Below are 27,697 nucleotides of genomic sequence, written 5' to 3'. Positions count from 1 at the left end.
TGTCCCACAACAGAGCTGGGCTGAATTATTAATGTGGACTTTGTTCAACAATGGACTAAAGAGGGAGAAGCCCATGAACTGTGTGAGGAGTGCATGACAGGTGCTCGTGGGATGACATGGCTCGGCACCCTCCAGCTGCTGCTGCCGCTGCCTGTCCTGCTGGGCGGCCACCTCCTCCCAGAGAAGAAGAGCACTCACAACTGCTGCTGATCTCCTTCCAGGGCTTCCGCTGGGACTAGGATCAGGATGTGGACACCCCCAACCTGGACCGTCTGGCCGGGGAGGGCGTCAAGGCCAAGTACCTCATGCCGCCCCTTGTCACAATGACCTCCCCTTCCCACTTCACTGCCATCCCAGGTAAGCGTCACTCTGCCCATTTCACCTGATGCCCATCAAAGCCCCAGCGTCCGTCATTCCCTGTGATAAGAAGCAAAAGCTCGGTCAGCTCTAGGGAGGCTGAGGCGGCTCCGGGGTCTCACTCTGTTGCCCAGGCTATAGCTCAATGGTATAATCACAGCTCAGTGGAGCCTCAAACTCCTGGTCTCAAGCAGTCCTACCATGCCTAATTTTCTCATTTTCTTAGAAATTGGGGCAGGGGGTGTCTCACTATGTTGCCTGGGCTGGTTTTGAACTCCTGGCCTCAAGTGAGCATCCCACCTCAGCCTCCCAAAGTGCTGAGATTGGAGACATGAGCTACCGTGACTGGCCTGATCTTTTTTAAAAAAGTAAATAAGGCCGAGCATGGTGACTCACCCCTGTAATCCCAGCACTTTGGGTGGCTGAGGCAGGTGGATCACCTGAGGTCAGGAGTTCAAGACCAGCTTGGCCAACATGGTGAAACATCGTCTATCCTAAACATACAAAAATAAGCTGGGCGTGGTGGCAGATGCCTATAACGACAGCTGCTCGGGAGTCTGATACAGGAGAATCACTTGAACCCAGGAGGTGGAAGTTGAAGTGAGCCGAGATCATGCCATTGCACTCAGTTAGATGAGGTGACTCATACCCTCCAATGGTGTCCTGGTTCTCTTACATAAGAATTGAAATGTCTTTCTGTGGCCCAAAAGATCCCACACAGCCTGGCCCCTGGCCCATCTTCTGCCAGACTCTCTCATCTCTCTCCCTCTCCTTCACTTCCTTCCGGATCACAAAGGCCTTTTGCCTGTGCCTTCTGCCCTGCTCCCTCCAGCCCCAGGGCCTTGACCTGTGCTAGTCCAGTCCCTCCAGCTCACCAGGAGCATGCAGTCCAGTCGGGGAGACAGACACCAGACACCCAAACAGGCACATACATCCCGTGACAACTAAGCAGGCATCAAGGAGGAAAACGAGTATTCCAGGCACAGACTACAGCGGTAAACTGGCTTCAAACTAGAGAGGGAGAAAGGGGGTCTCTGAGCATGGGGCAGTTGAGCTGAAAGAGATCTCAGGGGACCAGAGCAAGGAAAACTGTTCCAGGCAGAGGGAAGAGCATGTGTGAGGTCTCTGAGACAAAGACTTGTCATTTCAGAATCCCAGTGGCCACTAAAATAGAGGGATTCCAACCCAAAAAGGAGAAAGAGGAGGCTGCTGGAAAGCAAAGGACTCTGTGTAAGAATCATAATAGCGGGGGTGGAGCCAAGATGGCCAAACAGGAACAGCTCCAGTCTACAACTCCTGGCGTGAGCGACGCAGAAGACAGGTGATTTCTGCATTTCCAACTGAGGTACTGGGTTTATCTCACTGGGGAGTGTCAGAAAGTGGGTGCAGGACACTTGGTGCAGCGCACCGAGCATGAGCCCAAGCAGGGCGAGGCATTGCCTCACCCAGGAAGTGCAAGGGGTCAGAGAATTCCCTTCCCTAGTCAAAGAAATGGGTGACAGATGGCACCTGGAAAATTGGGTCACTCCCACCCTAATACTGCACTTTTCCAACAGTCTTAGCAAACAGCACACCAGGAGATTGTATCCCGCGACTGGCTCAGAGGGTCCTAAACCCATGGAGCCTCACTCATTGCTAGCACAGCAGTCTGAGATCAAACTGCAAGGTGGCAGCAAGGCTGGGGGAGGGGCACCCGCCATTGCCTAGGCTTCAGTAGGTAAACAAAGCAGCTGGGAAGCTCCAACTGGGTGGAGCCCACCACAGCTCAAGGAGGCCTGCCTGCCTCTGTAGGCTCCATCTCTGGGGGCAGGGCATTGGTAAACAAAAGGCAGCAGAATCCTCTGCAGACTTAAATATCCCTGTCTGACAGCTTTGAAGAGAGTAGTGGTTCTCCCAGAATGCAGCTGGAGATCTGAGAATGGACAGACTGCCTCCTCAAGTGGGTCCCTGACCCCCGAGTTGCCTAACAGGAGGCACCCCACCATAGGGGCAGACTGACACCTCACATGGCCGGGTACTCCTCTGAGACAAAACTTCCAGATGAACAATCAGGCAGCAACATTTGCTGCTCACCAATATCCGCTGTTCTGCAGCCTCCACTGCTGACACCTAGGCAAACTCCAACACACCTGCAGCTGAGGGTCCTGACTCTTAGAAGGAAAACTAACAAACAGAAAAGACATCCACACTAAAACCCCATCTGTACGTCACCATCATCAAAGACCAAAGGTAGATAAAACCACAAAGATGGGGAAAAAACAGAGCAGAAAAACTGGAAACTCTAAAAATCAGAGTGTCTCTCCTCCTCCAAAGGAATGCAGCTCCTCACCAGCAATGGAACAAAGCTGGACAGAGAATGACTTTGATGAGTTGAGAGAAGAAGACTTCAGACGATTAAATTACTCCAAGCTAACGGAGGAATTTCGAACCCATGGCAAAGAAGTTAAAAACCTTGGGGAAAAAATTAGATGAATGGCTAACTAGAATAACCAATGCAGAGAAGTCCTTAAAGGACCTAATGGAGCTGAAAACCAAGGCACAAGAACTACGTGACAAATGCACAAGCCTCAGTAGCCGATTCGATCAACTGGAAGAAAGGGTATCAGTGATGGAAGATGAAATGAATGAAATGAAGCAAGAAGAGAAGTTTAGAGAAAAAAGAATAAAAAGAAATGAACAAAGCCTCCAAGAAATATGGGACTATGTGAAAAGACCAAATCTACGTCTGATTGGTGTACCTGAAAGTGACAGGGAGAATGGAACCAAGTTGGAAAACACTCTGCGGGATATTATGCAGGAGAACTTCCCCAATCTAGCAAGGCAGGCCAACATTCAAATTCAGGAAATACAGAGAACACCACAAAGATATTCCTCAAGAAGAGCAACTCCAAGACACATAATTGGCAGATTCACCAAAGTTAAAATGAAGGAAAAAATGTTAAGGGCAGCCAGAAAGAAAGGTCAGGTCACCCTCAAAGGGAAGCCCATCAGACTAACAGCTGATCTCTCAGCAGAAACTCTACAAGCCAGAAGAGAGTGGGGGCCAATATTCAACATTATTAAAGAAAAAAATTTTCAACTCAGAATTTCAAATCCAGCCAAACTAAGCTTCATAAGTAAAGGAGAAATAAAATACTTTACAGACAAGCAAATGCTGAGAGATTTTGTCACCACCAGTCCTGCCCTACAAGAGCTCCTGAAGGAAGCACTAAACATTGAAAGCAACAATCAGTACCAGCCACTGCAAAAACATGCCAAATTGTAAAGACCATCAAGGCTAGGAAGAAACTGCATCAACTAATGAGCAAAATAACCAGCTAACATCATGACAGGATCAAATTCACACATAACTATATGAACCTTAAATGTCAATGGGCTAAATTCTCCGATTAAAAGACAGACTGGCAAATTGGATAAAGAGTCAAGACCCATCAGTGTGCTGTATTCAGGAAACCCATCTCATGTGCAGAGACACACATAGGCTCAAAATAAAGGGATGGAGGAAGATCTACCAAGCAAATGGAAAACAAAAAAAAGGCTGGTGTTGCAATCCTAGTCTCTGATAAAACAGACTTTAAACCAACAAAGATCAAAAGAGACAAAGAAGGCCATTGCATAATGGTAAAGGGATCAATTCAACAAGAAGAGCTAACTATCCTAAATATATATGCACCCAATACAGGAGCACCCAGATTCAAAAAGCAAGTCCTTAGAGACCTACAAAGAGACTTAGACTCCCACACAATAATAATGGGAGACTTTAACACCCCACCGTCAACATTAGACAGATCAACGAGACAGAAAGTTAACAAGGATATTCAGGAATTGAACTCAGCTCTGCACCAAGCGGACCTAATAGACATCTACAGAACTCTCCACCCCAAATCAACAGAATATACATTCTTCTCAGCACCACACCACACTTATTCCAAAATTGACCACATATTTGGAAGTGAAGCACTCTTCAGCAAATGTAAAACAACAGAAATTAAAACAAACTGTCTCTCAGACCACAGTGCAATCAAACTAGAACTCAGGATTAAGAAACTCACTCAAAACTCCTCAACTACATGAAAACTGAACAACCTGCTCCTGAATGACTACTGGGTACATAATGAAATGAAAGGCAGAGATAAAGGTGTTCTTTGAAACCAACGAGAACAAAGACACAACATACCAGAATCTCTCGGACACATTCAAAGCAGTGTGTAGAGGGAAATTGATAGCACTAAATGCCCACAAGAGAAAACAGGAAAGATCTAAAATTGACACTATAACATCACAATTAAAAGAACAAGAGAAGCAAAGAGCAAACACATTCAAAAGCTAGCAGAAGGCAAGAAATAACTAAGATCAGAGCAGAACTGAAGGAAATAGAGACACAAAAAACCCTTCAAAAAATCCATGAATCCAGGAGCTGGTTTTTTGAAAAGATCAACAAAATTGATAGACCACTAGCAAGACTAATAAAGAAGAAAAGAGAGAAGAATCAAATAGATACAATAAAAATTGATAAAGGGGATATCACCACCAATCCCAGAAAAATACAAACTATCATCAGAGAATAGTATAAACACCTCTATGCAAATAAACTAGAAAATCTAGAAGAAATGGATAAATTCCTCGACACGTACACCCTCCCAAGGCTAAACCAGGAAGAAGTTGAATCTCTGAATAGACCAATAACAGGCTCTGAAATTGAGGCAATAATTAATAGCTTACCAACCAAAAAAGTCCAGGACCAGACGGATTCACAGCCGAATTCTACCAGAGGTACAAGGAGGAGCTGGTACCATTCCTTCTGAAACTATTCCAAATAATAGAAAAAGAGGGAATCCTACCTAACTCATTTTATGAGGCCAGCATCATCTTGATACCAAAGCCCGGCAGAGACACAACCAAAAAAGAGAATTTTAGACCAATATCCCTGATGAACATCAATGCAAAAATCCTCTATAAAATACTGTCAAACCGAATCCAGCAGCACATCAAAAACTTATCCACCATGATCAAGTGGGCTTCCTCCCTGGGATGCAAGATTGGTTCAACATATTCAAATCAGTAAACATAATCCAGCATATAAACAGAACCAATGACAAAAACCATACGATTATCTCATTAGATGCAGAAAAGACGTGTGACAAAATTCAACAACCTTCATGCTAAAAACTCTCAATAAATTAAGTATTGATGGGACGTATCTCAAAATAATAAGAGCTATCTATGACAAACCCACAGCCAATATCATACTGAATGGGCAAAAAATGGAAGCATTCCCTTTGAAAACTGGCACAAGACAGGGATGCCCCCTCTCATCACTCCTATTCAACATAGTGTTGCAAGTTCTGGCCAGGGCAATCAGGCAGGAGAAGGAAATAAAGGGTATTCAATTAAGAAAAGAGGAAGTCAAATTGTCCCTGTTTGCAGATGATATGATTGTATATCTAGAAAACCCGATTGTCTCAGCCCAAAATCTCCTTAAGCTGATAGGCAACTTCAGCAAAGTCTCAGGATACAAAATCAATGTGCAAAAATCACAAGCATTCTTATACACCAATACAGACAAACAGAGAGCCAAATCATGAGTGAACTCCCATTCACAATTGCTTCAAAGAGAATAAAATACCTAGGAATCCAACTTACAAGGCATGTGAAGGACCTCTTCAAGGAGAACTATAAACCACTGCTCAACGAAATAAGAGAGGACACAAACAAATGGAAGAACATTCCATGCTCATGGGTAGGTAGAATCAATATCGTGAAAATGGCCATACTGCCCAAGGTAATTTATAGATTCAATGCAATCCCCATCAAGTTACCAATGACTTTCTTCACAGAATTGGAAAAAACTACTTTAAAGTTCATATGGAACCAAAAAAGAGCCCACATTGCCAAGTCAATCCTAAGCCAAAAGAACAAAGCTAGAGGCATCACACTACCTGACTTCAAACTATGCTACAAGGCTACAGTAATCAAAACAGCATGGTACTGGTACAAAAACAGAGATATTAACCAATGGAACAGAACAGAGCCCTCAGAAATAATGCCACAGATCTACAACCATCTGATCTTTGACAAACCTGACAAAAGCAAGAAATGGGGAAAGGATTCCCTATTTAATAAATGGTGCTGGGAAAACTGGCTAGCCATATGGAGAAAGCTGAAACTGGATCCCTTCCTTACGCCTTATACAAAAATTAATTCGAGATGGATTAAAGACTTAAATGTTAGACCTAAAACCATAAAAACCCTAGAAGAAAACCTCAGCAATACCATTCAGGACATAGGCATGGGCAAGGACTTCATGTCTAAAACACCAAAAGCAATGGCAACAAAAGCCAAAACTGACAAATGGGATCTAATTAAACTAAAGAGCTTCTGCACAGCAAAAGAAACTACCATCAGAGTGGACAGGCAACCTACAGAATGGGAGAAAATTTTTGCAATCTACTCATCTGACAAAGGGCTAATATCAAGAATCTACAATGAGCTCCAATAAATTTACAAGAAAAAAACAAACAATCCCATCAAAAAGTGGGCAAAGGATATGAACAGACACTTCTCAAAAGAAGACATTTATGCAGCCAAAAGACACGTGAAAAAAATGCTCATCATCCCTGGCCAGAGAAATGCAAGTCAAAACAACAATGAGATACCATCTCACACCAGTTAGAATGGCGATCATTAACAAGTCAGGAAACAACAGGTGCTGGAGAGGATGTGGAGAAATAGGAACACTTTTACACTGTTGGTTGGACTGTAAACTAGTTCAACCATTGTGGAATTCAGTGTGTCAATTCCTCAGGGATCTAGAACTAGAAATACCATTTGACCCAGCCATCCCATTACTGGGTATATACCCAAAGGATTATAAATCATGCTGCTATAAAGACACATGCACACGTATGTTTATAATGGCACTATTCACAATAGCAAAGACTTGGAACCAAGCCAAATGTCCAACAACGATAGACTGGATTAAGAAAATGTGGCACATATACACCATGGAATACTATGCAGCCATAAAAAATGATGAGTTTACGTCCTTTGTAGGGACATGGATGAAGCTGGAAACCATCATTCTCAGCAAACTATTGCAAGGACAAAAAACCAAACACCACATGTTCTCACTCATAGGTAGGAATTAAACAATGAGAACATATGGACACAGGAAGGGGAACATCACACACTGGGGCCTGTTGTGGGGTCGGGGGAGGGGGGAGGGATAGCATTAAGAGATATACCTAATGTTAAATGACGAGTTAATGGGTACAGCACACTAACATGGCACATGTATACATATGTAACAAACCTGCACGTTGTGCACATGTACCCTAAAACTTAAAGTACAATAGAAAATAAAAAATAAAATAAAAACTTTGGCTGTTGACTCCAAATATCCTGCTTCATCATCTCTCTACTCCAGAAACTTTTCACATGCTTACAAAGGGTGTTCGTTTCTCCTCTAAGTATTTGCTCGCCAGCCCCACCGGCAAGAAGGTGGAAGTAGGGCCTCTGCCTGGGATGGTAACTCTCAAATGTAAGGCAAGACCTGTCTCTCCACCAATATCCCCAGGACTGAAGGACTGTGAAAGTCTGCATATTGATCAAGCTTCTCCCTCCCTTATCTGAAGGGAATTACTTCCTTCAAGACACTTTTCCTCTTCCCACCTAGCTCCATGCCCCCATCCAGTCATCTTCCAACCCATCTCTCCCCACCTGCATGCCACACAAGGGGGGCGTGACCACAGCACCTGGAAGTTCCTTAAAGTTGAATGGTGTGTCAGGCCGGGTGCAGTGGCTCATGTCAGTAACCCCAGCACTTTGGGAGGCTGAGGCAGGAAGGTCACTTGAGGTCAGGAGTTCGAGACTAGCCTGGCCAAAATGGTGAAACTCCATCTCTACTAAAAATATAAAAATTAGCTGGGTGTGGTTGTGCTTGCCTGTAGTCCCAGCTACTTGGGGGGCTGAGGCAAGGGAATCACTTGAACCTTGGAGGCAGAGGTTACAGTGAGCCAAGATTGCGCCATTGCACTCCAGCCTGGGCGACAGAGTGAGACTCTGTCTCAAAAAAAAAAAAGAAAAAACGAAATCGAATGGTGTGATTAGCTTATGATTTTTTAAAAATGGAATGATGTATTCATTTTCTAAGCTGCATAACAAATCAATACAAATTTAGCAGCTTAAAACACCCATCTATTACCTCTCCTTTCCTGTGGGTCAGGAGTCTGGGGGTGCAGCTTCAGCTGGGTCCTCTGCTCAGGTACTTACAAGGTTGTGATCAAGGTGTCGGCTGTAATTAGTGTCTTATATGAGGCTTACGGTCTTCTCCCAACCTCACATGGTTGTTGGCAGAATTTATTTCCAAGCAACTGTGGAACTCATGTGGCTGGCTTCTTCAAAACCAGCCAAGCATGGTGGCTCACGCCTGTAATCCCAGCACTTTCGGAGGCCGAGGCCGGTGGATCACCTGATGTCAGGAGTTCGAGACCAGCCTGGCCAATATGGTGAAACCCCGTCTCTACATAACTTAGCCGGGCATGATGGAGCACACCTGTAATCCCAGCTACTTTGGAGGCTGAGGCAGGAGAATCACTTGAACCCAGGAGGCAGAGGTTGCAGTAAGCTGAGATCGTGCCACTGCACTCCAGCCTGGGCAACAGAGTGAGACTCCATGTCAAAAACAAATAAACAAACAAAAACCAAAAACCAGGAGGAAGGAGTCTGTCTCCTCCAGACCTTCATTGAAGATCTCACCTGAAGATGTCAGGCCCACCCTGAATAATCTCCCTTTTGATTAACTCAAAGTGAATGGATTAGGGGCTTAGTTACATCTGCAAAATCCCTTCATCTTTTTCATAGGTATAGATTAGAAGCAAGCCACGGGTCCTGCCTACACTCCAGGGGAGAGGAGATTACACCTGGCATTTATCCAGGGCAAGAACCTAAGGGGTCATCTCAGAATTCTGCCTTCCAAATAGATCCTCGGTGGAGCTTACATGCCTGGGCGAGCACCAGCCTTTGTTTAAAGGCAACAGAGAATGGTGTCCTGGCTCAGATCTCCAGCAAGCCTCCACAATGATGGTCCAGTATCTGAAGCCAGGGCCAAGGCAGCAGGAGCTTTGGGTGCACATGGGGGCTTCCCCCACTTTGAAGTGAGTCATCACATCCGTATTAGAACCTAGCTGTTGCTTAGGCAAAAATGAGGATTTAGAAGAAGATGGAGAGAAGAGGAGAGTTAATTTAAAAGTACTTATATTCGGCCGGGCATGGTGGCTCATGCCTGTAATCCCAGCACTTTGGGAGGCTGAGGCAGGCAGATCATGAGGTCAGGAGATGGAGACCATCCTGGCTAACACGGTGAAATCTTGTCTCTACTAAAAATACAAAAAATTAGCTGGGCGTGGTGGCCGGCGCCTGTAGTCCCAGCTACTCAGGAGGCTGAGGCAGGAGAATGGCATGAACCCAGGAGGCGGAGCCTGCAGTGAGCCGAGATCTCGCCATGCACTCCAGCCTGGGCAACAGAGCGAGACTCCATCTCAAAAAAAGAAAAAAAAGAGAAAGTACTTATATTCATTCCCTAGGGCTGTCACAACCAAATACCAAAAGCTGGGTGACTTGAAACCAGAGAAATTGATTGTCTTGTGGCTCTGGTGGCCAGCAGTCTCAAACGGAGGTGCCACCAGGGCCACGCTCCCTCCTGCACTTGTCGGGGAGTCCTGCCTTGCCTCTTCCTAGCTTCCTGTGGTCTCCTGGCAGTCTTCAGTGTTTCTTGGTTTGCATACGCATCAGTCCAATCTTCCATCCAATCCATGGCCTTCTTCCCTGTGTCTCTGTGACTCGGCGTGTCCTCTCCTCTTTTATAAGGACACCAGTCATTGACTTAGGCCCTCCCTACTCCAGGATGACTTCATCCTAATCAATAGCATCTGCAATAACCCTATTTCTTTCTTTCTTTTCTTTTCTTTTCTTCTCTCTCTCTCTCTTTCTTTCTTTCTTTTTTGAGACGGAGTTTCACTCTTGTTGCCCAGGCTGGAGTGCAATGGCGCGATCTCAGCTCAATGCAACCTCCATCTCCTGAGTTCAAGCAATTCTCCTGCCTCAGCCTCCCGAGTAGCTGGGATTACAGATATGCGCCACCACACCCAGGTAATTTTGAATTTTTAGTAGAGAAGGGGTTTCTCCATGTTGGTCAGGCTGGTCTCAAACTCCTGACCTCAGGTGATCCTCCCGCCTTGGCCTCCCGAAGTGCTGGGATTACAGGCATGAGCCACCACGCCTGGCCTGCAATAACTCTATTTCTAAATAAGGTCACATTCTGAGCTACTAGAATTTAGGATTTCAACATGTTTTGAGGAGGACTCAATTTAACCCATAAGAATACTATGTGGGCCACACATGCTGCTTCACATCTGTTATCCCAGCACTTTGGGAGGTTGAAGCAGGAGGACCATTTCTCAGGGCGTAGGGGGACACCAGGTGCATAAAACCACAGCGTTGACTGGTGTGGGGGCTCACACCTGTCTGTTTGGGAAGCTAAGGCAGGGCGATCACTTGAGCCCAGGAGTTTGAGGCCAGCCTGGGTGACATAGTGAGATCTCACTTCTAAAAAAAAAAAAAATTTAGTTAGCTGGGCATGTTGGTACCCACCTACAGTCCCAGCTACTCAGGAGGCTGAAGCAGGAGGGTCGCTTGAGTCCAGAAGATCAAGGCTGTGGCGAGCTGTGATTGCACCATTGCACTCCAGCCTGGGCAACAGAGCAAGCCCTGTCTCAAACAAACAAACAAAAAAAATCATCTCGCTTGTCTTCTGATTCCCTGAGCTGTCATAGAAAGGAAGTGAAGCAGTGAAAGCATCCCCCCAAAGGGACTTTTCAAAACCAGCCTAAGCAACATAGCAAGACCTTGCCTTTAGAAAGTATTTAAATTTGAAGGAAAAAAAAAAAAAAAAGCAGTACTATGGCACAGAGTTGACAGCTACAGGTATGGCTACATCCAGGTCCTAAAACTATATCATCAGAATGACCCCTCACCCTCCCCCCGCTTTCCATTTTACTTTCTTAAGCATGAACATGAAATTTCCAAGATTGTTTCTCCTTTGGCTAATCTGCTTCTCAGACCCAATCACTGTGGCCAGGGTGGTGGAAGGATACTGACATCCAGGCTGGGACCACATGCCCCAGCTCCAGATCAGGGTGGGGAATGGCCAGTCGCACACATGTCGTGGGGAACTAGTGACTCCTCGGTGGAAAATCGGGGACTGTCATTGGAGAGGAGCGATAGAAGAAAGGCTGAAGCAGTGCAATGTATCTCCTGCACCAGCCTGGGCCTTGATGTCTTGAGTACTGATGACCCAGTACTCAGTCTAGGGCAATCCCAACTCCATCTGCGGGGCTGCCTACAGTACATGGACCCCCTCACTGGATTTGCTGACCACACGTGCAAACAGCCACTTCCCAGCCCCACTCCCCGCAGTCCCCCTGAACCCTGTCAAAATTCCCCTCAGTTCTCACCAAGATTAAAAGCAATGCTGAGGGTGAGCGGCTCATTCTGCTAGTTTAACTCTCTCGATTCCTTCCCTCTCCAGAACTCTGTACTTACTGCTCCGTCACTGGTAATGACAGTGAACATCTTCACAATCTCAGGTTTTATTGCAAAGTGATTGAGGACCAGTTAGAATAAGTTATGCTACAGAAACTAAAGAAATCCCGTCAAACAAATGGTATGTAATAGAAAGTCTTAGGGCAGTCGTGTATATTTTCTCCCCCAATGAATCAATTGAAAATGAGAAGCTGTTACCGCCATGTTCCGGGCAGAAGCTATCAAAAGTAAAAGCCATGATATTATAATTTGATGATTTTTCATCCGTCAAATGGATATGGCCCAGGGGTGAAAAGTGGATGCTGCGTAACTAGATGATGGTCAAGAGTTATAAAAATGAGGTCCTCTCTGTTCAACATTTCTCCTTTCTTGAAAGGATACTCAATGTCATGCTCAGGGCCTCTAATGGCCAGAAATAAAGTTCCTCCCAGTTCCAGAGCAACCCAGGACAACCCCAAAACCAGAGCAACTGTTTATTGCCATGTAGACTATGTACTGTGCAATTCCTGGGGTGGCATTTTCATAAATATGTGGGTGGCGCCCCCTGGAGGTATGCAATGCACAACTTGCACAAATGGTAAGTCATCGTATCCCAAAGTCCACAAAGAAGAAGTAAACAAAATTCCCATCGACGTTGCCATCAGTCATGAGTCTGCCTTTTCTTCATGGGATAGTAGCAAAAACTATTTGGCCAAGTGTGCTTGGATGATCTCTAAGATGGAATCAGGGTCTCTCACTTTCAGCACTATTGACATTTGGGGCTGGATCATTCTTTTGTCTTAGTGGGAGTTGTCCGGAGCATTGTAGGATGTTTAGCAGCATCCGTGGCCTCTACCTATTAGCTGCCAGTAGCACCACCTCCTCCAGCTGCAACAACCAAAATTGTCTCCAGACATGGCCACATGTTCTCTTGGGGGCAAAATCACCCCCTGGTTGAGAAGCCCTGAAGTAAAGACATAATACGCAGATCACATGTAAGTAAGAGAGCCTAAGGGCCACACAGGTGATGCTGTACCCATGACAAAGCAGAGTCTTAAAGAGGTTAGAGAGGTGGAGAAAGAGAAAAGAAATGAAGTCCCAGCTGCCGAGAGCAACAGATGCTGACTAGATGTTGTTGATAGTCATCTTTAAACTGAGTTAAAAGATGCTGAGAAGCCATCAGCTCCCATCCTGCTCTCCAGGGACAACGCTGCTGAAAAAGGCCTGGAGATCAACAAAGCCCCAAACACAGGTGCACTGAGCAAAGAAACCAGAGATTGAGACAAAAAAGACACTCCCTCAAAGACTACTCATTTCCAAGAGGGGAGAAAAAGTGGAGTCATGAAAAACAGTTGAGGCTGGGTAGAGTGACTCGCACCTGTAATCCCAGCACTTTGGGATTACTCCCAGGCTGAGATGGGAAGATTGCTTGAACTCAGGAGTTCAAGACCAGCCTGGGCAAAATAGCAAGACCTTGCCTCTAGAAAAAGGGAAAAAATTAGCCAGGTGTGGTGATACATGCCTGTGGTCTCAGCTACTCGGGAGGCTGAGGTGGGAGGATCGCTTGAACCCAGGAGGTAGAGGCTGCAGTGAGCTGGGATCGTACCACTGCACTCCAGCCTGGGCTACAGATCCTGTCTCAAAAAAGAAAAAAATTAAACAAAATTAAGGCCGGGCACGATGGCTCATGGCTGCAATCCCAGCACTTTGGGAGGCCAAGGTGGGCAGATCACGAGGTGAGGAGATTGAGACCATCCTGGCTAACACGGTGAAACCCCATCTCTACTAAAAATACAAACAATTAGCCGGACATGGTGCTGGGTGCCTATAGTCCCAGCTACTCTGGAGGCTGAGGCAGAAGAATGGAGTGACCTCGGGAGATGGAGCTTGCAGTGAGCCAAGATCACACCACTACACTCCAGCCTGGGCAAAACAGCAAGACTCCATCTCAAAAAAAAGAAAATTAAAAAATTTTTTGAGACCAAGTCTCACTCTGTCACCCAGGCTGGAGTGAAATGGTGCGATCCTGGCTCACTGCCACCTCCGCCTCCTGGGTTCAAGTGATTCTCATGTCTCAACCTTGTGCCTCAACATGACTACAGGCATGTTGTCACCATGCCTAATTTTTGCATTTTTAGTAGAGATGGGGTTTCACCACGTTGTCCAGGATGGTCTTGAACTCCTAGGTTCAAGCACTCTACCCACCTCAGCCTCCCAAAATGCTGAGATTACAGGCATGAGCCACCGTGCCCGACCTCTAACTTTTCATTATGGAAATTTCCCATATACACAAAAAGCAGGGAGAGAATTATACCATGAACCCCCATGCACCCATCATCCCACTGCAAGAACTTGTCAACATTTCTCCAATCTCATTCCAGTTCCCACTTTTCTTTTCCTTCTTGCTATTTTAGGATATTTTAAAGCAAATTCCAGACATTTCATTTCACCCACATCCATAACACACCCGGGTGCATTCTTGATGTAAGGGTTTTGTTTTGTTTTATAACCCCCATACCATTGCCACAGTTAATAGATTTAACATGAAGAAACTAAGATTCCTGCAGGTGGAGAAAAGATCTAATTACCACATTAAAGCTTCTCCTACTAGCGCTTCTCAGATCTGAACGTGTATGCAAATCACCTGGGCATCTTGTTAAAATGCAGATTCTGGCCCAGGAGGTCCTTCCGGTGAGCGCTGAGAGTCTTCAATTCCAAAAGCTCCCAGGTGATGCAATGCTAAGGGTCCATGAATCACACAAGAGGAAGGGTCGGCCAACACTCACAACAACTGGGTGCAAAGTCCTGACTGTTCCTGACCGCAGGGCCTTCAGTGAATGGGGAAGCTGGGGACCATTTGGCAAAGAAGGGAGGTTTTTCGTATCTGCTCCAGGCCTTGTAGAACTGCCAGGGAATAACAGACACAAGGTCAGCAAAGTCTAACCAACAGCACGAGTGCATTCATATTCCACAACCACTGCAGCAAAGAACCATGAAATGGGTGGCTTCAAACAATGTCTGGGCCGGGTGCTGTGGCTCACACCTAAATAATCTCAGGACTTTGGGAAGCTGAGGTGGGTGGATCACTTGAGGCCAGGAATTCGAGACCAGCCTGGCCAATATGGCAAAACCTTGTCTCTACTAAAAATACAAAAATTAGCCATGCATGGTGGCAGGCACCTGTAGTCCCCACTTCTTGGGAGGCTGAAGCAAGAGAATGGCTTGAGCCTGGGAGGTGGAGGTTGCAGTGAACTAAGATCGTGCCACTGCACTCCAGACTGGGCAACAGAGCATGCCTCTTTCTAAAAAAAAAAAAAAAAAAAAAATATTGTCTGGAGGCCAGAAGTCCAAAATCAATCAAAGGTCAGCAGGAGCATGCTCCTTTCAGAGGTTCTAGGGGAGAATCCATTCCTTGCGTCTTCCAGCTTATAGAGGCTACTAGAATTCCTCAACTTGTGGCTGCATGATCCAATCTCTGCCTCTGTGATCACCTTGCCTCCTCCTCTTCTGTCTGGGTCTCCTCCTCTGGAGTAAGAGTGTCAGGCCTCTGAGCCCAAGCTAAGCCATCATATCCCCTGTGACCTGCATGTACACATCCAGATGGCCGGTTCCTGCCTTAACTGATGACATTATCTTGTGAAATTCCTTATCCTTGCTCATCCTGGTTCAAAAGCTCCCCTACTGAGCACCTTGTGACCCCCACTCCTGCCTGCCAGAGAACAACCCCCCTTTTTCCTTTACCTACCCAAATCCTATAAAATGGCCCCACCCCATCTCCCTTCACTGACTCTCTTTTTGGACTCAGCCCACCTGAACCCAGGTGAAATAAACAGGTTTATTGCTCACACAAAGCCTGTTTGGTGGTCTCTTCACACAAATGCATGTGAAATTTGGTGCCGTGGCTCAGATTGGGGGACCTCCCTTGGGAGATCAATCCCCTGTCCTCCTGCTCTTTGCTGTGTGAGAAAGATCCACCTACGACCTCAGGTCCTCAGACTGACCAGCCCAAGAAACATCTCACCAATTTCAAATCTGGGAAGCAGCTTCTTTTTACTCTCTTCTCCAACCTCCCTCACTATCCTTCAACATCTTTCTCCTTTCAATCTTGGCACCACACTTCAATCTCTCCCTTCTCTTAATTTCAATTCCTTTCATTTTCCGGTACAGACCAAGGAGACACGTTTTATCCATGGACCCAAAACTCCAGTGCTGGTCACGGACTAGGGAAGGCAGCCTTCCCTTGGTGTTTAATCATTGCAGGGACGCCTCTCTGATTATTCACCCAGGTTTCAGAGGTGTCAGACCACACAGGGATGCCTGCCTTGGTCCTTCACCCTTAGCGGCAAGTCCCGCTTTTCTGGGGGAGGCACAGGAACCCCGCCCTCTTATCTCTGCACCCCGATCCCTTATTTCCATGCCCTGCCCTCTTATCTCTGTGCTCTGATCCCTTATTTCCACAACCTGACCTCCTATCTCTGCACCCCAACCCTTTATTTCTGTGCCCCAACCCATTTCCTGCTTTTCTGGAAGGCAAGAATGCCCCACCCCTTCTCTTTGTGTCTCTACTCTCTCTTTTCTCTAGGCTTGCCTCCTTCACTATGGGCAAGATTCCACCCTCCATTCCCCTTTCTTCTCCCTTAGCCAGTGTTCTTCAAAACCTAAAACCTCTTCAACTCACACCTGACCTAAAACCTAAATGCCTTATTTTCTTCTACAATGCCGCTTGACCCCAATACAAACTCAAGAGTGGTTTCAAATAGCCAGAAAATGGCACTTTCAATTTTTCCATCCTACAAGATCTAGATAATTCTTGCCATAAGATGGGCAAATGGCCTCAGGTCCCTGATGTCCAGGCATTCTATTACACTTCGGTCCCTCCCTAGTCTCTGTTCCCAATGCAACTCATCCCAAATCTTCTTTCTTTCCCTCCCACCTGTCCCCTCAGTCCCAACCCCAAGTGTTGCTGAGTCTTTCTAATCTTCCTTTTCTACAGACCCATCTGACCTCTCCCCTCCTTGCCAGGCTGAGCTAGGTCCCAATTCTTCCTCAGCCTCTGCTCCTCCACCCTATAATCCTTTTATCACCTCCCCTCCTTACACTGGGTCTGGCTTACAGTTTCATTCCATGACTAGCCCTCCCCAACCTGCCCAGCAATTTACTCTTAAAAAGGTGGCTGGAGCTAAAGGCATAGTCAAGGTTAATGCTCCTTTTTCTTTATCCCAAATCAGATAAGGTTTAGGCTCTTTTTCATCAAATATAAAAATCCACCCCAGTTCATGGCTCGTTTGGCAGCAACCCTGAGATGCTTTACAGCCCTAGGCCCTAAGAGGTCAAAAGGCCGTCTTATTCTCAATATACATTTTATTACTCAATCTGCTCCCGACATTAAATAGAACTCCAAAAATTAAATTCCGGCCCTCAAACCCCACAACAGGACTTAATTAACCTCGCCTTCAAGGTGTACAATAAGAGAGTAGAGGCAGCCAAGTAGCAACATATTTCTCAGTTGCAATTCCTTGCCTCCACTGTGAGACAAACCCCAGCCACATCTCCAGCACACAAGAGCTTCCAAACGCCTAAAGTGCAGTGGCCAGGCATTCCTCCAGAACCTCCTCTCCCAGAAGCTTGCTACAAGTGCCAGAAATCTGGCCACCAGACCAAGGAATGCCCACAACCTGGGATTCCTCCTAAGCCATGTCCCATATGTGTGGGACCCCACTAGAAATCGGACTGTTCAACTCACCTGGCACCACTCCCAGAGCCCAAGGCTCTCTGACTGACTCCTTTCCAGATCTTCTTGGCTTAGCAGCTGCAGACCGACACTGCCCGATCGATCGCCTTGGAAGCCTACAGGACCATCACAGACACTCTAGGTTACTCTCACAGTGGAGTGTAAGTCCATCCCCTTCTTAATCAATACAGAGGCTACCCAATCCACATTACCTTCTTTTCAAGGGCCTGTTTCCCTTGCCTCCATAACTGTTGTGGGTATTGACAGCCAGGCTTCTAAACCTCTTAAAACTCCCCAACTCTGGTGCCAACTTAGACAATACTCTTTTAAGCAGTCCTTTTTAGTTATCCCCACCTGCCCAGTTCCCTTATTAGGCCGAGACACTTCAACTAAATTATCTGCTTCCCTGACTATTCCCAGACTACAGATACATCTCATTGCCACCCACCTTAACCCACAAGTAGAAGATACCTCTACTCCCTCCTTGGCAACCTATCATGCACCCCTTACCATCTCATTAAAACCTAATCACCCTTACCCCGCTCAATGCCAATATCTCATCCCACAGCATGCTTTGAAAGGATTAAAGCCTGTTATCACTCACCTGCCACAGCATGGCCTTTTAAAGCCTATAAACTCTCCTTACAATTCCCCCATCTTACCTGTCTTAAAACCAGACAAGCCTTACAAGTTAGTTCAGGATCTATGACTTATCAACCAAATTGTTTTGCCTATCCACCCCACGGTAACAAACACATATACTCTCCTATCCTCAATTCCTCCCTCCACAACCCATTATTCTGTTCTGGATCTCAAACATGCTTTCTTTACTATTCCTTTGCACCCTTCATCCCAGCCATTCTTTGCTTTCACTTGGACTGACCCTGACACCCATCAGGCTCAGCAAATTACCTGGGCTGTACTGCTGCAAAGCTTCACAGACAGCCCCCATTACTTCAGTCAAGCCCAAATTTCTTCCTTATGTGTTATCTATCTCAGCATAATTCTCATAAAAACACACGTGCTCTCCCTGCCGATCGTGTGTGACTAATCTCTAAAACCCCAACCCCTTCTACAAAACAACAACTCCTTTCCTTCCTGGGCATGGTTGGATACGTTCATCTTTAGATATCTGGTTTTGCCATCCTAACAAAACCATTATATAACCTCACAAAAGGAAACCTAGCTGACCCCATAGATCCTAAATCCTTTCCCCACCCTCTTTCTGTTCCTTGAAGACAGCTTTAAAGACTGCCCCCACCCTAGTCTTGGTTCCCTGACTGGGAAGCGAGGTAATTGACGGAAAGTCGAGGCAGCCCGTTAGGTGGCTTAGGCCTGCCCTGTGGAGCATCCCTGCGGGGGACTCCGGCCAGCTTGAGCGACACGGATCCTGAGAGCTCTCCCGGGTAGGCAATTGCCCCAGAGGAATGCCTCATCAGAGGAGTGTGTGGTAGGCCCCCATGGAGGATCAACACAGTGGCTGAACACAGGGAAGGAAGAGGCACTTGGAGTCCGGACATTTGAAACTTGGTAAGACTGATCTTTGGAACTTGCCCACTCCATTTGAGTGGAAGCGTGGCCTGATCACCCACGGCGTGCCTGTACTGGCACTTTGGTTTTTGTTTTTGACTTGACTTGAATTGCTTGATACTTTGGTTTTGGTTTGACCTGGCTTGGATTTCTGGATACTCTGATTTTGGTTTTGATTCTGGTTTGGTGAAAACTGAAAAAGTGTGTGTGTGCCCTTTTTACCCATTCTTTGTTCTGTGGTGTGCCTGTGGTTTGAGCTTGGTGTTTTGTCTCGAGGAAACGTGGGTCAGATGCAAAGTAAGCCTACTCCACTAGGAAGTATGTTGAAAAATTTTAAGAAAGGATTTAATGGAGACTTTGGGGAACTTAGAACTTTGTGTGAAATAGATTGGCCAACATTAGAAGTAGGGTGGCCATCAGAAGGAAGCCTGGACAGGTCCCTTGTTTCTAAGGTATGGCACAAGGTAACTAGTAAGTCAGGACACCCAGACCCGTTCCCATACATAGACACTTGGTTACAGCTGATGCTAAAACCCCCACAGTGGCTAAGAGGGCAGGCAGCAGCAGTGCTAGTAGCAAAGTGACAGATAGCCAAGGAAGGATCCCGCTCCACCCGCCGAGGGAAATCAACTCCTGAAGTTCTGTTCGACCCAACATCAGAAGATCCATTGCAGGAGATGGCACCAGTGATCCCAGTGGTGCCCTCTCCTTACCAGGGAGGCAGGCTCCCCACTTTTGAGTCCACAGTGCTTGCGCCTCCACAAGACAAACATTTCCCTAGGCCACCCAGAGTAGACAAGAGAGGAGGTGAGGACTCGGGAGAAACCCCTCCCTTGGTAGCTCATTTAAGACCCAAAACGGGGACACAAATGCCCCTGAGAGAGCAGCGGTATACTGGGATAGATGAGGATGGTCACGTGGTGGGGAGGCGTGTTTTTGGGTACCAGCCCTTCACCTCTGCCCACCTTCTCAACTGGAAAAACAATACCCCATCCTGTACCGAAAAGCCACAAGCTCTGATTGATTTGCTCCAAACTATTATCCAGACCCATAACCCCACCTGGGCTGATTGCCACCAGTTGCTCATGTTCCTCTTTAACACAGATGAAAGGCGGAGAGTGCGCCAAGAAGCAACTAAGTGGCTAGAGGAACATGCACCAGCTGATTACCAAAACCCTCAAGAGTATGTAAGCACCCAGTTACCAGGAACTGATCCCCAGTGGGACCCACATGAAAGAGAGGATATGCAAAGGCTAAACAGAGACAGGGAAGCTCTCTTGGAAGGATTAAAGAGGGGAGCCCAGAAGACCACAAATGTTAACAAAGTCTCTGAGGTCATTCAGAGAAAAGAAGAAAGTCCAGCACAATTAGGAGAGACTGTGTGAGGCCTATGGTGTGTATACTCCCTTTGATCCTGATAGCCCTGAAAATCAAGGCATGATTAACATGGCTTTAGTTAGTCAAAGCGCAGAAGACATTAGAAGAAAACTGCAGAAACAGGCTGAGTTTGCAGGGATGAACACATCACAGTTATTTGAAATAGCTAACCAGGTGTTTGTAAATAGGGATGCAGGGATGCAGTAAGCCGTAAGGAAAACCACAGAGACAATGAACCTCAGGCCCAGCGAAACACTGACCTGTTAGCGACAGCAATCAAAGGGGTCCCCCAAAGAGGCAAGGGAAGGGGGGCCCCGGGAAGGAAACTCAGCCTGGCTCTCAGAGCTTGCAGCGTAATCAGTGTGCTTATTGTTAAGAAATAGGACAATGGAAAAACAAATACCCTCAGCTAAAAAGAAAACCAGGTGACTCAGAGCAGGAGGCCCCGGACAAGGATGAAGGGGCCCTGCTCAACCTGGCAGAAGGGTTATTGGACTGAGGGGGACTGGGCTCAAGGACCCCCAAAGAGCCCATGGTCAGGATGACAGTTAGGGGTAAAGACATTGATTTTCTTGTAGATACCGGTGCTAAACATTCGGTAGTAACCGCCCCGGTCGCCCCCTTATCCAAAAAGATTATTGACATCATCGGAGCCACGGGAGTTTCAGCAAAGCAAGCTTTCTGCTTGCCTCGGACTTGTGCTGTAGGAGGACATAAAGTGATTCATCAGTTTTTGTACACACCTGACTGTCCCTTGTGCTTGTTGGGAAGGGACTTGCTTAGCAAACTGAGAGCCACTATCTCTTTTACAGAGCATGGCTCTTTGCTGCTAAAGTTACCCAGAATGGGAGTCATTATGACCCTTACGGTCCCCCGAGAGGAAGAATGGAGACTTTTCTTAACTGAGTGGGGCCAAGAGATAAGACCAGCTCTGGCTAAGCTGTGGCCAAGAGTGTGGGTGGAAGACAACCCTCCAGGGTTTGCAACCAAGCCCCCGTACTTATAGACGTTAAGCCTAGGGCCCAGCCGATTAGGCAAAAACAGGAGCCGGTCCCCAGAGAAGCTCTTGAAGGTATCCAGGTCCATCTCAAGCACCTAAGAACTTTTGGAATTAGAGTTCCTTGTCAGTCTCCATGGAACACTCCCCTCCTGCCTGTTCCCAAGCCTAAGACCAAGGACTACTGGCCGGTACAGGATTTGCACTTGGTGAATCAGGCTACAGTGACTTTACATCCAGCAGTACTTAACCCGTACACTTTGCTGGGGTTGCTGCCAGCTGAGGACAGCTGCTTCACCTGCTTGGACCTGAAAGATGCTTTCTTTAGCATCAGATTAGCCCCTGAGAGCCAGAAGCTGTTTGCCTTTCAGTGGGAAGATCTGGAGTCAGGTGTCACTACTCAGTACACTTGGACCGGGCTTCCCCAAGGGTTCAAGAACTCCCCCACCATCTTCGGGGAGGCATTGCCTCGAAACCTCCAGAAGTTTCCCACCAGAGACCTAGACTGCGTGTTGCTTCAGTACGTTGATGACCTTTTGCTGGGACACTCCACGGCAGCCGGGTGCACCAAAGGAACAGATGCTCTACTCCGGCACCTGGAGGACTGTGGGTATAAGATGTCCAAGAAAAAAGCTTAGATCTGCTGACAGCAGGTACATTACTTGGGATTTACTATCCGAAAGGGGGAGAGCAGCCTAGGATCAGAAAGAAAGCAGGTCATTTGAAATCTACCGGAGCCTAAGACCAGAAGGCAGGTGAGAGAATTCTTATGGGCTGTGGGGTTTTGCAGACTGTAGATCCCAAACTTTGCAGTATTAGCCAAGCCTTTGTATGAGGTCACAAGGAGGGGGGGGGTGGGACTTTTTGAATGGGGATCCCAGCAACAGCAAGCCTTTCATGAGATAAAGGAAAGATTTATATCAGCCCCAGCCCTGGGGCTACCCGATCTAACAAAGCCTTTTCCATCGTATGTGTCAGAGAGAGAAAAGATGGCAGTTGGAGTTTTAATCCCAACTATGGGTCTCTGGCCGAGGCCGGTGGCCTTCCTCTCTAAACAACTAGACGGGGTTTCTAAAGGATGGCCCCTGTGTTTAAGGGCCTTGGCAGCAACTGCCCTGCTAGTACAAGAAGCAGATAAGCTGACTCTTGAAGAAAACCTGAACATAAAGGCCCCCCATGCTGTGGTGACTTTAATGAATACTAAAGGACATCATTGGCTAATGAATGCTAGACTCACTAAGTACTAAAGTTTGCTCTGTGAAAATCCCCGTATAACCATTGAAGTTTGTAACACCCTGAACCCCACTACCTTGCTCCCAGTATCAGAGAGCCCTGTCGAGCGTGACTGTGTAGAAGTGTTGGACTCAGTTTACTCTAGCAGACCTAACCTCCAGGACCAGCCTTAGGCATCAGTAGACTAGGAACTATACGTGGCTGGGAGCAGCTTCATCAACCCACAAGGAGAGAGATGTGCAAGATATGCGGTGGTAACTCTGGACACTGTTGCTGAAGCCAGATCGTTTCCCCAGGGCACTTCAGCTCAGAAAGCTGAACTCACTGCTTTCATTCGGGCCTTAGAACTCAGTGAAGCTAAGAATGTCAACATTTACACTGAGTCTTAATATGCCTTTTCAACCCTTCAAGTGCGTGGAGCATTATATAAAGAAAAGGGCCTAATGAACTCTGGGGGAAAAGACATAAAATATCAACAAGAAATCTTGCAATTATTAAAAGCCGTATGGAGACCCCACAAGGTGGCAGTTATGCATTGCAGAGGACACCAGCGAGCTTCCACCTTGGTTGGTTTAGGGAATTCCCGCGCTGACTTAGAGGCTCGAAAAGCAGCATCTGCCCCCTTCCGGGCATCAGTCACAGCCCCCATGCTCCCTCAAGCACCTGATCTTGTACCTACTTATTCTAAAGATGAAAAGGACTTTCTCCAGGCAGAGAGAGGACAAGTGATGGAGGAAGGATGGATTCGGTTACCGGATGGGAGAGTAGCTGTGCCACAGCTGCTGGGAGCTGCAGTTGTACTGGCTGTGCATGAAACCACCCATCTAGGTCAGGAATCACTTGAAAAGTTGTTAGGCTGGTATTTCTACATCTCGCATTTGTCAGCTCTTGCCAAAACGGTGAGGCAGCGGCGTGTTACCTGCCGACAGCATGATGCGAGGCAAAGTCCAGCCATTCCACCCGGCATACAAGCTTATGGAGCACCCCCTTTGAAGATCTCCAGGTGGACTTCACAGAGATGTCAAAGTGTAGAGGTAACAAGTATTTACTAGTTCTTGGGCGTACCTAATCTGGGTAGGTGGAGGCTTATCCAACACGAACTGAGAAAGCTTGTAAAGTAACTCGTGTGCTTCTTCGAGATCTTATTCCTAGATTTGAACTGCCCTTATGGATCAGCTCAGATAACAGGCCGGCATTTTTGGCTGACTTAGTACAGAAGGCGGCAAAGATATTAGGGATCACATGGAAACTGCATGCTGCCTACTGGCCTCAGAGTTCCAGAAAGGTGGAGTGAATGAATCAAACTATCAAAAATAGTTTAGGGAAAGTATGTCAGGAAACAGGATTAAAATGGATACAGGCTCTCCCTATGGTATTATTTAAAATTAGATGTACCACTTATAAAAGAACAGGATATTCCCCTTATGAAATATTATATCATAGGCCCCCTCCTATATTGCGGGGACTTCCAGGCACTCCCTGAGAGTTAGGTGAAATTGAGTTACAGCGACAGCTACAGGCCTTAGGAAAAATGACACAAACAATCTCAGCCTGGGTAAATGAGAGATGCCCTGTTAGCTTATTCTCCCCAGTTCACCCATTCTCCCCAGGTGATCGAGTGTGGATCAAGACCTGGAACGGAGCCTCTTCGTGTCCACTGTGGAAAGGACCCCAGACTGTCGTTCTGAGCACTCCCACCGCTGTGAAGGTAGAAGGAATCCCAGCCTGGATCCACCACAGCCATGTAAAACCTGCAGCGCCTGAAACCTGGGAGGCAAGACCAAGCCCAGACAACCCTTGCAGAGTGACCCTGAAGAAGACGACAAGCCCTGCTCCAGTCACACCCTGAAGCTGACTGGTCCACGCACGGCCGAAGCATGAGGAAGCTCATCGTTGGATTCATTTTTCTTAAATTTTGGACTTATACAGTAAGGGCTTCAACTGATCTTACTCAAACTGGGGACTGTTCCCAGTGTATTCATCAGGTCACCGAAGTAGGACAGCAAATTAAAACAATCTTTCTGTTCTATAGTTATTATGAATGTATGGAAACAATAAAAGAAACTTGTTTGTATAATGCCACTCAGTACAAGGTATGTAGCCCGAGAAATGACCAACCTGATGTGTGTTATAACCCATCTGAGCCCCCTGCAACCACCGTTTTTGAAATAAGAATAAGAACTGGCCTTTTCCTAGGTGATACAAGTAAAATAATAACTAGAACAGAAGAAAAAGAAATCCCCAAGCAAATAACTTTAAGATTTGATGCTTGTGCAGCCATTAATAGTAAAAAGCTAGAAATAGGATGTGGTTCTCTTAACTGAGAAAGGAGCTAAAGAGTAGAAAATAAATATGTTTGTCATGAGTCAGGGGTTTGTAAAAATTGTGCCTATTGGCCATGTGTTATTTAGGCTACTTAAAAAAAGAACAAAAAGGACCCGGTTTATCTTCAGAAGGGGGAAGCCAACCCCTCCTGTGCTGCTGGTCACTGTAACCCACTAGAACTAATAATTACCAATCCCCTAGATCCCCTTTGGAAAAAGGGAGAACGTGTAACCCTGGGGATCAATAGGACAGGGTGAAACCCTCAAGTTGCCATTTTAATTAGAGGGGAGGTCCACAAGTGCTCTCCCAAACCAGTATTTCAAACCTTTTATGAGGAGCTGAATCTGCCAGCACCAGAACTTCTGAAAAAGACAAAAAATGTGTTTCTCCAATTAGCAGAAAATGTAATTTTCTTACTTAATGTTACTTCTTGTTATGTATGCGGAGGAACCACTATCGGAGACAGATGGCCTTGGGAAGCCCGAGAGTTGGTGCCTACTGATCCAGCTCCTGATATAATTCCAGTTAGAAGGCCGAAGCTAGCAACTTCTAGGTCCTAAAAACCTCAATTATTAGACAATACTGTATAGCTAGAGAAGGGAAACACTTTATCATCTCTGTAGGAAAGCTTAATTGTATAGGACAGAAGTTGTATAACAGCACAACAAAGACAATTACTTAGTAGGGCCTAAACCACACTGAAAAGAATCCATTTAGTAAATTTTCTAAATTAAAAAATGCTTAGGCTCATCCAGAATCTCATCAGGACTGGACGGTTCCCACTGGACTATACTAGATATGTAGGCACAGAGCCTACATTCGGTTACCTAATAAATGGGCAGGCAGTTGTGTTATTGGCACTATTAAGCCATCCTTTTTCTTATTACCCATAAAAATGGGTGAGCTCCTAGGTTTCCCTGTCTACGCCTCCCGAGAAAAGAAAGGCACAGTTATAGGAAACTGGAAAGATAATGAGTGGCCCCCTGAAAGGATCATTCAGTATTATGGGCCTGCCACATGGGCACAAGACGGCTTATGGGGATACCGAACCCCCATCTACATGCTCAATTGGATCATACGGTTGCAGGCCATCTTAGAAATAATTACTAATGAAACTGGCAGAGCTTTGACTGTTTTAGCTTGGCAAGAAACCCAAATAAGGAATGCTATCTATCAGAATAGACTGGCCTTAGACTACTTGCTAGTAGCTGAAGGAGGAGTTTGTGGAAAATTTAACTTAACCAATTGCTGCCTACAAATAAGTGATCAAGGACAGGTGGTTAAAAACATAGTCAGGGACATGACAAAGGTGGCACATGTGCCTGTACAGGTTTGGCACGAGTTTAATCCTGAGTCTTTATTGGAAAAATGGTTTCCAGCTATAGCAGGATTTAAAACCCTCATTGTAGGTGTATTGCTAGTGATAGGAACTTGCTTGCTGCTCCCCTGTGTATTACCCTTGCTTTTTCAAATGATAAAAGGTTTTGTAGCTACTTTAGTTCATCAGAAAACTTCAGCACACGTGTGTTATATAAATCACTATCGCTCTATCTCACAAATAGACTCAAAAAGTAAAGATGAGAGTGAGAACTCCCACTAAAAAGTGAAAATGCTCAAAGGGGGAAATATGGTATGAGACCACCACTTCTCCGGTTGTCCTTCCCAGTTTCTCCCCAACCTCCCCTTTTCCCTAGTTTGTAAGACAGCAAAAAAGGGAGAAAGCAAAAAGTTGGAAAAAACAGAAGTAAAATAAATAGCTAGACGACCTTGGTGCCACCACCTGGACCTGGTGGTTAAAATATCAATAATATTAACCCCTGACCAAAACTACTGGTGTTATCTGTAAATTCCAGACATTGTATGAGAAAGCATTGTAAAAACTTTTTATTCTGTTAGCTGATGTATGTAGCCCCCAGTCACGTTCCTCACGCTTACTTGATCTATTATGACTTTTTCACGTAGACCGCTTAGAGTTGTCAGCCCTTAAAAGGGCTAGGAATTTCTTTTTCCGGGAGCTCGGCTCTTAAGACACGAGTCTGCCGACGCTCCCGGCTGAACAAAAAAACCTCTTCCTTCTTTAATCCGGTGTCTGAGGAGTTTTGTCTGCAACTCGTCCTGTTACACTAGCTCTCCGTGACTCATCCCAACCCTTTTCATTACACACAGCCGAAGTGCAGCGCTGTGCAGTTGAAATTCTTACACAAGGACCAGGATCACGTCCTGTAGCCTTTTTGTCCAAACAACTTGACCTTATTGTTTTAGGTTGGCTGTTATGTCTCTGTGCAGCAGCTGCTCCCACCCTAATACTTTTAAAGGCCCTTAAAATCACAAACTATGCTCAACTCACTCTCTACAGCTCTCATAATTTCCAAAATGTATTTTCTTCCTCACACCTGCCACATATACATTCTGCTCCCCAGCTCCTTCTGCTGTACTCTTTGTTGAGTCTCCCACAATTACCATTGTTCCTGGCCCGGACTTCAATCCGGCCTCCCACATTATTCCTGATACCACACCTGACCCCCATGACTGCATCTCTCTGATCCACCTGACATTCACCCCATTTC

The 27,697-nt window shown here is 46.2% G+C and overlaps 2 long non-coding RNA genes and 1 pseudogene across 2 annotated transcripts in view, besides 1 other annotated feature; 2 read left to right on the top strand and 1 right to left on the bottom strand.

Moving 5' to 3' along the window:
- The window catches only part of LOC107986133 (uncharacterized), a 38,839-nt gene extending 37,166 nt beyond the window's left edge, over nt 1–1,673 (top strand). Inside the window, exons 3-4 of the long non-coding RNA XR_001740907.2 lie at nt 222–357; nt 1,508–1,673. This is a non-coding gene — a long non-coding RNA (uncharacterized LOC107986133). The remainder of the gene's footprint in view (nt 1–221; nt 358–1,507) is intronic.
- Nucleotides 135–375, top strand: ENPP7P3 (ectonucleotide pyrophosphatase/phosphodiesterase 7 pseudogene 3; annotated as a pseudogene).
- Nucleotides 1,674–12,417: 10,744 nt separating the features above from the next.
- On the bottom strand, nt 12,418–14,991 carry LOC107986131 (uncharacterized). Its single transcript, XR_001740905.2, has 2 exons — nt 14,582–14,991; nt 12,418–12,901 (listed from the first exon to the last, which is right to left on the bottom strand). It is a non-coding gene; the product is annotated as an uncharacterized LOC107986131 (long non-coding RNA).
- Nucleotides 14,352–15,105: an enhancer, noted in NCBI's record as "NANOG-H3K27ac hESC enhancer chr3:129871903-129872656 (GRCh37/hg19 assembly coordinates)". NCBI's record gives its function as "activates a minimal SCP1, AML or CMV promoter by ChIP-STARR-seq in primed H9 embryonic stem cells {active_cell/tissue: H9 hESC(primed)}" and the evidence as "EXISTENCE:reporter gene assay evidence [ECO:0000049][PMID:30033119]".

The sequence above is a fragment of the Homo sapiens genome, chromosome 3 (assembly GCF_000001405.40).
Source record: "Homo sapiens chromosome 3, GRCh38.p14 Primary Assembly".
In the NCBI taxonomy this organism is placed as follows: Eukaryota; Metazoa; Chordata; class Mammalia; order Primates; family Hominidae; genus Homo; species Homo sapiens.
This window is presented reverse-complemented; position numbering and strand designations above follow the sequence as displayed.